This window comes from Homo sapiens, chromosome 6, assembly GCF_000001405.40.
Source record: "Homo sapiens chromosome 6, GRCh38.p14 Primary Assembly".
NCBI classification, from domain to species: domain Eukaryota; kingdom Metazoa; phylum Chordata; class Mammalia; order Primates; family Hominidae; genus Homo; species Homo sapiens.
This window is the reverse complement of record NC_000006.12, coordinates 89,353,083-89,363,596: the sequence shown is the minus strand read 5'-3', so window position 1 is coordinate 89,363,596 and position 10,514 is coordinate 89,353,083. Positions and strand designations below refer to the sequence as shown.

Genomic DNA, 10,514 nt, shown 5'->3' with positions numbered 1-10,514 from the left:
TATTTCAAGCTCAGAAATCTAAGAATAAGCCTTTGGTCTTAACTGTATTCAACTTTTTACCTTGAGATTTCAATATATGTAAAAAAAATAAAATACTGATCTGGAATAAAATCCAAAAAGGTATATTTCCATCCTAATTCTTTTTTGACCTTCAGATCTATATCTTAAATTGCAACTAGCATGCTTTTGCTAGAATCTTCTATAGGTGAAAAGCCTCAAATCTAATATGTCTAAAATTGGCTTCCTTCTTGCTAAATCACCTATGATGGTGTGACTTTCCTCCCTGTGCTTCTGCCAGACACTTGGGCCTCATTCTTGACTCTTCCCTCCCCTCCTGTTCACCTGCAGTCAGTCACTCGGTTCTTTCAGCTCAGCCTTACAAAGGTCTATTGAATCTGTTCTCTCCATCTCCTCTGCCATTATCTTGGTTTAGACCACCATCTCCTTTTTACTTGGATTTCAGTATTTTTTTTTTTTTTTTGAGAGACAGTCTCATTATGTTGCCCATGCTGGAGTGCAGTGGCATGATCCCAGCATACCATAACCTCAAACTCCTAGGCCCAAGTGATTCTCCTGCTTCAGCCTCCCAAGTAGCTAGGACTACAGGTGTGCACCACCACACCTGGCTAATTTTTGTTTGTTTTTTTGTAGAGATGGAATGTCGCTATGTTGCCCAGGCTGGTCTCAAACTCCTGGGCTCAAGTGATCCTCCCATCTTGGGCTCCCAAAGTGCTTGGATTATAGACATGAGCAACTGCATCGGACCTTTCAGTAGCTATTTAACCAGTGTCTCTCTACCCCATTCATCCATCCATCCATCCATCCATCCATCCATCCATCCATCCATCCATCCATCCATCCTTCATACAGACCCCGAGTGGCCTCTCTCAACCACCACAATTCTGACCTTCCTTGCTTCCTGACCTTCTTAAGCTTCCTTGCTTAACACCCTCCAGGTCTGAAGCTCTCCATGACTCCTAGATATCAGCCCAAACTCCTTAGCAGAGTTCACAAGACCCTGCTCCCTGGCCTTGCTGCATCTCCGGACTTGGTTTATTCTCCCTCAATGTGTTGAGGACAAGCATGACCAAAAGAGTGTGGGGTAAATAAAAGGAGCCATGAGTTTTGATTCTTTTGTCAATAATGATTGCTAAATCTCCTATGATGGTGTGACTTTCTGAGGGAAATTAACAATGTTCTTTTATCCAACAGATATTTATAGGGTTCCAATTATATTCCAGACTCTGTGCTAGAGAAATGGCTAAAAGGCAGATACTGGAGATGAAAGGATTTTAATATCTAAAAATAATGAAAAATAAACTAATTTTTGATAGGTCCTTATAGATGTCAGTTTTTAGAACTGCAGTTGTGTAGGACTTTACCACTGTGCGCAGCAGAGACCATGGATAATAACTAGCATCCAAGAAATTGAGTTGTTCAACCAATAGATCAATAGCTATATTTACTATTAATTTAATGTAAGACTAAATAGAAGAAGTAGGCTGTAAATTCGAAATGTTTATTGACATGTAGTGCTTTTCCTTGTAATTAAGAGGTGAATTATCTTAAAAGTAGGAAGTTTTAAATGTTATTTTAATATTCATACTTTTCCAGCTTAATACATGTATGACATCAATATCACTTCCAGAATTGGATTTAATAAAAAGTTTATTTGGCCGGGCGCGGTGGCTCACATCTGTAATCCCAGCACTTTGGGAGGCTGAGGTGGGCGGACCATGAGGTCAGGAGTTCAAGACCATCCTGGCCAACATAGTGAAACCCTGTCTCTACTAAAAATACACAAAATTAGCCCAGTGTGGTGGTGTGCGCCTGTAATCCCAGCTACTCAGGAGGGTGAGGCGGGAGAATCGTGTGAGCCCAGGAGGCAGAGGTTGCAGTGAGCCAATATCGCACCATTGCACTCCAGCCCAGGCGACAGTGCGAGACTCCATCTCAACAAACAAACAAACAAAAGTTTATTTTACTTTTCTACCCTTTTCAATCTGTTCGTACCAGGGAACTATTTATAAGAGTGTCGCCTAAGAATGTTTATATTCTCTTAACATGTCATCAGGAACAGTAGAATATGTGAGAAAAATCTGATGGTAAATGCAAAACTCTTTCACATCATTCAGAATTTTGAAAGGCTGGGTGATTTTAAAATGTGTCATACTTGTCCTAGAGGTCCTCAAAAGACCTACTTTTATCATAAATTACAGTTAAGTTCAGGCAGTGATCTTATTTCAGTTGTATCATCAGTATTTTGCAATAGTCCTGGGAAAGTGAAAATATAAGCTCTAGTAGTCTCGTTCATGATTTTAAGATACCAATTTGAAGTATCATATTATTCCAAGAAACAACTTAATTCCAGGATTTAAAAAAAAATCCAAAACAATATTGTTAGAACAGTGCAACAAATATTTACAAGTCAATAGTCTTTTCTTTGTAGAATATTACATTTATGGTTTCAATAAATGATTTAGCAGTTAAAGCTGAGATGAAGTGTGGTTCTCATATTCAATCTTGAAAAACTAAACCATCTTTAAAAAGTAGAACGTCCATGTGAACTCATGCCTGAAGCCATGTTTGAACGCTAGATAAAATTGCCCTGGGACAGAACTGTAGTTCACCTTTATGAAATCAATTTTAAACTTGTTATTGTGAGCCACAATAAATACAGTTCACATTGCAAACTATCACACACTCATACAAATGTTACTAAAAAAAACTTACCAAGTTATATCCTCTCTACATGCAATGCATTCTGGTATTTTCTCTTTCATTTGCTTTTTTTAAAAAGATCTCACAATCCACTAATGAGTCACAACCTGTGGTTTGTAAAGTAGTGTTAGAATGAACCCATTGGCCACATCAGAAATATCTAAGGATTTTCTTTCCAACCTAAAATCTTTTCCTTCTCTGTTAATTAAGAGATCTTAACAAATGGGAAATTCTGAGTAAGTTCCTGAATTTTTCTTTCATTTGATCATGGCCTTCTAGTGTTTACTAAAGTGGTTTTTCTTTTCACTGCCATCCTTGGGTATTTTTGTATGCTGGGTTGTATTACGGGTGAAGGGTTGATGGGGTTGTAGGCCTGAGAGGATCATTTTTATTACAGACTCTATCCTTGACTATAATATGATAGCGTTACATGGAGTTTAGTGACTCATGAGCTCATGTCTGACTCCTAAGGGGTCCTTTGTTAATTCAGATGACATTGGTCTTATCCGTTATCAAGAATCCATGAGTTTGGCTGGGTGTGGTGGTTCATGCCTGTAATCCTAGCACTTTGGGAGGCCGAGGCGGGTGGATCACAAAGTCAGGAGTTCAAGACCAGCCTGACCAACATGGTGAAACCCCGTCTCTACTAAAAATACAAAAATTAGCCAGGAGTGGTGGCACGCACCTATAATCCCAGCTACTCAGGAGGTTGAGGCAGGAGATTCGCTTGAACCCGGGAAGCAGAGGTTGCAGTGAGCCGAGATCGCGCCACTGGGCGCCAGCCTGGGCAACAGAGCGAGACTCCGTCTCAAAAAAAAAAAAAAAAAAAAAAAGAATCCATGAGTTTGCCCTTTTGTGCTATTTTGAAAGGGAGCTGATCCAGTGACTACACTCAGGAGGGTGGGGGCATTAACTGGTGTCCAGCTGCCTGAGACCTTGACCATCTTGCTTCCTCAATCTTTCCTAATAAGCTCCTGGGGCCAGCAGGGTTATTCTATTCTTCCAAAATTGAGAGTCATGAAACCAATCCCCCTCTCATGAAAGGCCAACTATGATAGAGCAATTTAAACCTCAGTCCCATGCTAACCCTCATCACCACGTGGAGAATTCCATTCCTACAAGCTGCTTTTGTTTGCCTTCTGCTTTCATTATTGCCTAAGTCCCTAAGAGGGCTGCTACTCAGTTTTCTCCCCTCTGGCTTTGCAGAGAGCTAAGCCCCATAGTACTCAACTTTCCTCACCTAGATAGCCAATAACTTGGAACTAATTCTGGCCTTCTCCCAGACTGCTTATAAGGTGGCCTTGGTAATTAGGCTTTTGTTTCTTTTCCCTGGGAAGCAGTGCAGTAAAGGGGGTGACTGCGGGAGACAGTCCTATGTATCTTTCCATCTCCGTAGGAGAGGAAGGAATTCACTTAGCTTTATAAGGTGCAAGAAACGGTGCCACCAATACACATAGTACTGTTTCATTTAATGCTCTAGGCCCATATTTTCCAAAGTTACCTGATTTTATGAATCATCTAGAGTGCTTAAGGATGCAGATTCCCAGCCCCATCCCGGTCTTCTTGAATCAGAATCTCCAGGGAGAAATACAGAAATCTGTATTTTTAAATAAGGACCCTAAACAATTCTTATAATTTGTGAGACACTGTTTTCTCTGTAGTTGTTTAAAGGGATAGGGAGGGGAAATGGTAGGGGATTAGGGTTGCAATCACCTAGGGGAGCTTTCTTGCATCCTCCATACCTACATACACATCAACACCCCAAGTGTTAGCATTTTTTCCAACTTGATTATGCAGCTTTAAGAGTTTATATTATTTAACCTATATTTCAAATGTAGACTTTTGTGAATGTAAATAATTTTAAGTCTATTTAAACCATTTATTGATTCAGTATTTAAATACTCATTTACATCTAATAGCACAAATTATGCAAATGGTACTAATTTAGAAAAATTGGTTTTTCCTCAAACAATTTTATTCAAATACTTCACATGCATCGTTTACAACTGGGTCTCTATCATCACTGAAACAACATTGTGAGTCCTCTAACAGTTCCCTCCTAGTTATCTAAGGTAGAGCATGCCTTACATTGAGTAGAATGCTGTCAGTGGAGATTTTACTACATCTCGAGAACCACTTGTTAAACATCAGGGTTTTTTTCCTACATATTCATAATCACCATAAATAAGTACTTCTTGTATTTCTCTGTTCAATAATTATTTAAAAGCCTACTTAATGATCTCCAATACTTGTTATCCAAAGTCATACCCTCAGGAATAATTAATCAATATGTCTTTGCCTTTTTTCCCCTGATTTTGCTAGGTGACCTTTATAAGACAGAAAATTGCCATTACTTGTGACCCTTTCACGACATATTGTCTTCCTGAAGAGTATTTTGTTCAAAAAGGACAAAGACAAAAACACAAGGTGACTCTCTTTTCTGAGGAATGATATTTTTGGAAAAATTTTGCTTTCCATTCTGCATATATGGTATATATTACTATTTAATAGCATCTGTACCCACCCCCTTTTTTTGCATAGAGACAGGGTCTCACCATGTTAGCCAGGCTGGTCTTGAATTTCTGGCCTCAAGCGATCCTCCCCTCCACCTCCACCTCCCAAAGTTTTAGGATTACAGGTATGAGCCATCGCGCCCAGCCAGCATCTGTACCTAGACCCAACTTGAATTCCCCAAAGAAGTTAAACTGGCTCCAGTATTTTCTCACAAGATGCTAGAAGGCAAATTGTGGCATACCTATACCTTCTGGTTGGTTAGTGCTGAAAAAAGTACAGGACTACTTTTGAGAAGTTGACGATGTGGTTATCATTCAAAGTTTGCCTATAATTGTAACTTGGGTTTTAATGGGAAGCAGTGTAGTACTGATTGTTCTGAAGACAATAATATTGTCGAAATGCCCCATGGCTGCAGAATTACTGTAAGAATTTCATAAATCATGTATATGCTGTGCATTGTCTGGAGACTGAAGAATGTTTTTCATATCTATGACAATATTTTTTGGAAGTTTGTAGATGCTATAATCGTGAATAAAATACAAATTTGTTTAGAAGTATTGAACTCAGACAATTCTTGACTTTTGAAACTGAAACTACTCCCAGGGAAGAGCAGACTTCTAAGCTGTTCAGGTTAGTTTGTTGGTAACCAAGTTTCATCAATCAGCAAGTGGCTAAAAGGGGTCCAGGGAATGACAAATTGGGGTGACAGGATATGTGACACAAGAAGAAAGGTAGAGACAGGACAGCACTTTGAATAGCTATTAGGAGAGGACTCAGAAGGGGGGAAGGAGAACACACTTTCGAAACAGTTGGCAGCTGTCTGCCAGCACACCGCCAAGTGCACACCATTTTCTCCCCCAGAAACGACAGTTTTAGTTGCAGGTGTTTCCTTTAGAGCTAAACTTAGAAAATGAAATAACTCAAACTCATTAGTTCATCAGAACTAAGGAGTAAATATTGTAATTTTGTTACTAATTTTTAAAGCACCTTTCAATTTTGAGAAAAACAAGATGCAGTCTATGCAAATAAAGCAAAAGCACAATGCTAAGCAGCCTTCCTTTTCCTCATCCCTAACACCAAAAGTTGTAATTTTGAGAGAGATAGATAATTCAAAGCTATGGTAGCAAATTGGGTCTCAAAGAAAAGACAAATTAAGAAAGCTACACTAAAAATTACTTTAATAATGTTGCAAACAACTCTTTACTATTTTATTTAGAAAACACTTCTTTGCTTACTTATAGGGAAACCTTTTAAAATGAGAAATGGTACACAAGTCGTCTGGTGAAGGAACCTACTAAACTAGTATTCTAAGCACTCTACTGTATTTCAAATATATTTGCTTGATATCCCTCCATAATATTTTCTCCTGAAATATATTAGAAAAGTGTTAAAATAGAATGAACAAGCAAGACCTATCTTGAACATAGGAGAAACTGAGAAGAAAAAAAAAAAAACAGAAGCATTTTCTCTCCTAGATCTTTCAGCTGGCTGCCAGATGGTAAGCAAAAGCATAACTATTAGACCTGCAATTGCACTAAGGTGAGGCACCCAAAAACTGAGAGCTCCTTCCTGCCTGACATTTTTGTTCAGGTAACCAGAGTTTAAACTTGTGTCCCTGGTAATAACACAACTAACATCTCCATTACATTAATACCAGCTACATCCCCATGGGAAAATGTTCCATGTTTCTTATTAACCAATCCCAAGGGGAAATCCTGGGGGTAAAACAAGAGAAAAAACTATAGCAGGTGGTTTTTTTTTTTTTCTGAAAAAAAAAAAATTATAAAGTATTCAAGGTAATTAACAAAATGTTTACAATAAAGTCTACACTTGATCTTAGCCAAAAGACTGAGAAGCGATGCAATAAAATTTATATATGGCTTTCTGAGGTTTTTTTTTTTTTAAATTTTACTCTAGGAAGACATTGATGTAAAATAAGCTGATTCACACTATCAGTTTAAGTGATAATAACAATGCAACTGGCAAAACAAGTAATCCAGTTAGCTAATGGCAGATATTTTAAGTATAGAAAAGTATATGTGGTATAATGGGATATCAGTTCTTAAAATATCTATGCCTTATAAACAAAACCTCAAGGTAAATATACCAAAATCTGTATCATGTCCTTTTCTAAGCAGGAGGATTATGGGAGATTTGGATTTTGTTCATATTCCACATATTGAACCACTGTATTACTTTTATGATCAAGAAGAAAATCATTTAAAAAAAAGTTTCTAGTGCTAAAGAATAAGTAAAATGTGTGAACCAAGAATAGCTCGGAGGTTGTAAGAAGCATATACTTTTTTCAAATAGTGGAAAACTCAAATGTCACAAAACAGCCTGATTCTTTTTAGTGTAGCAAAAAAACCCAAGTTTCAGAGTCAGAAGACCTGGACTTGAATCAGGGTTCTTTCATTTTCTAGATAAGTCACTGAAGTTTTTTTTGAATAAGTCATTGAAGCTTTAAGAACCTTTATAAAATATATTTCAAAGTATTCAAACCAAATCAAGAAATAGATGAAAATCTAGAAAAATTTCCTCTCATTAACATAAAAAATCATATGCCAGAAAGATAATAATCTGTAGTTGAAAAAACTGAGAAGTAGACACTTGATTTCTCTGAGACCTAAATTATCTTCATCTGTAAAATGGGTATAAATAATCAGTGCCACTTCCAAGGCTGTTATGAAGAATAAATGAGTTGATGTTATGTCAAGTGCCTGATAAACAGTAGATGCTAAAAAACTATAGTCCAGACCTTGCACAAGGATGCAAATGGCGGTGGAGAAAGGGCCTGCACTTCAAAGGACTTCTGGTTCCTAACTAAGGAAAAGATGAATTACACAGGTCAAGGATTGTGGTTCTAAGATGTTTTCTAAGATTCTGAAACATTTTAAACCTCATCTTTTGTCATTTTTATTAGTTACGAAGTCGGCTTTAAGGATTAAAAAAAAAAATCTTAAAATGAAAAAAAAAAGGAGTTTTCCTTAGGATCATCAAAAGTAAAGAAAAAATTACCCCAAATTTGATCTTGGATTAAAACTTTACCTGATATAATTTGTAAATTTTTCTTGAAAGAAATAAGTGTTCTAGTTTAAAAAAATAAGCAATTTTTGGATAAGAAATTTTCCAAGGAAATGAGCTCCCTTCCCACCCAGCTGTCAGTCAAGAATTTAGTAACCTTTAAATAAAATTACTCTTCTCTTTGTATCTGTCTTTTTGAGACAGGGTCTCGCTCTATCACCCAGGCTGGAGTGCAGTGGCACCATCATGACTCACTGCAGCCTGCTCCTCCTCTTCCATCCCCCAGAGCTCAACTGATCCTCCCTTCTCAGCCTCCAGAGTAGCTGGGACCACAGGTACGTATGCCCGGCTAATTTTTGAGTGTGTGTATATTTTTAGTAGAGATGGGTGTCACCATGTTGCTCAGGCTGATCTCGAATTCCTGAGCTCAAGTGATCTGCCCACCTTGGCCTTTTTTTTTTTTTTTTTTTTTTGAGATGGAGTCTCATTCTGTCTCCCAGGTTGATCTCGGCTCACTGCAACCTCCGCCTTCTGGGTTCAAGTGATTCTCCTACCTCAGCCTCCCGAGAAGCTGGGATTACAGGCATGCACCACCACACCCAGCTAATTTTTGTATTTTTAGTAGAGACAGGTTTTTGCCATGTTGGCCAGGCTGGTCTCCAACTCCTGACCTCAGGTGACCTGCCCGCCTTGGCCTCCCAAAGTGCTGGGATTACAGGCATGAGCCACCACACCTGCCAGCCACTTCTCTTTTCTCTGTAAATGTCTCTGCTGAGAGAAATTTTGGAATTGGCTTTGATCTTGGAGCATGATTGTAATTAAGCTTTGATATGTGCCCATAATTAAATTGTTATGGGCACATGTCCACAATAAATTGTTGTTATTGTTGTTAACCAAGGAAGGAGAGATTGTTATTCCTACTGAACCAGTCCTATGGGAGAAGAGCCCCAGGGAGCAGTGGAGGTGGTGGTGGCTAAAGGAGAGCCCCAGAGGACAACTGCACCCAGAGATTGATGGACCTTGGAGGCTGAATAGCAAAAGGCTTCTAGTACTCAGCTATCAAATAGGAACGCATTATATACAGCACCTGCTTTGCAGGCCTTGCTGTGGTAGGGCCTACTGCACAAATTAGGGGCTTTTGTAGAGCTGTGGCAGGAGAGGGTGTCAAGTGTCAGTTAATCTGAAGATTCAACACAATGAATGAATGAAGCAGCATTGGAGTTTGGTTTTGTTTGCATATCTCAGTCAGTCAGATTATCAGTTTACTATACAGAAAACAACATCAGGGAATGATTTAAAATATACCATCTAATTTTAGATATCCTTCACTTTTTTACTCCCAATTTCATCAAGAAACTCACAGATTTAGATTAACTTTAACAATAGAAAACAAATCAAATTTAAGAGTTTATGTCTTTATATAACAGAATAAAACTTGCCCAACCTGATTAACCCTTTCTATCCTCCCCACCTTCCCAATCCCTCCCTCCTTTCCTTTAGTAAGGTCCCTACTCCTTAAGTCTTTTGAACTCAGTCCTCTCTCGATCCCACACATTGGACAATGAAGCAGTAAGTGTGTCCTTTGAAGTTTAACCTTTCATATTTGTATGCTTTCCCTCACATTAAATGTAATTCCTTTTTTTGACAGCTTTTACATCTAAACAAACCAAAAAAAACAAAACTCCTGCAATGCCTAAAACATGTCGTGCACCTAACACACTACCCGAGAAAAAAATTGTTATGAATATCCAACTCTGGCCAGAGCCGTGGCTCACGCCTGTAACCCCAGCACTTTGGAAGGCCGAGGCGGGCGGATCGCTTGAGTCCAGGAGTTCGAGACGAGCCTGGCCAACACGGTGAAACCGTGTCTCTAACAAAAATACAAAAAATTAACCGGGCATGGTGGCACACACCTGTGGTCCCAGCCACGCTGGAGGCTGAGGTGGGAGGATCGCTTGGGCCCGGGAGGTAGAGGCTGCAGTGAGCCAAGATCGCGCCACTGCATCCCAGCCTGGGCGACAGAGCGGTGACACCGTCACACACACACACAAAATAAAAAATAAAAAAAATCCTATTCCATTTCCTTGTCACTGGCTTTCCCCCTCCTCACTTAACCCCCGCCCCTCGCAACAGCAACTGAATCTAAAAACAAAGCCTTTCCCAGACCCTGCGGGACCGCGCGCGGGCAGCCGGCTGCGGACAGCTTTGCAGCCGGAGCCCGGCGCCCCCTCCGAGCTCTCGAGGGCCCGGGGGTC

The 10,514-nt window shown here is 39.3% G+C and overlaps 2 annotated features.

Annotated features, from left to right (window-relative positions):
- Positions 6,614-6,703: an enhancer, noted in NCBI's record as "active region_24823". NCBI's record gives its function as "activates an Ori minimal core promoter by ATAC-STARR-seq in GM12878 lymphoblastoid cells {active_cell/tissue: GM12878}" and the evidence as "EXISTENCE:reporter gene assay evidence [ECO:0000049][PMID:35858748]".
- Positions 10,414-10,513: a silencer, noted in NCBI's record as "silent region_17391". NCBI's record gives its function as "represses an Ori minimal core promoter by ATAC-STARR-seq in GM12878 lymphoblastoid cells {active_cell/tissue: GM12878}" and the evidence as "EXISTENCE:reporter gene assay evidence [ECO:0000049][PMID:35858748]".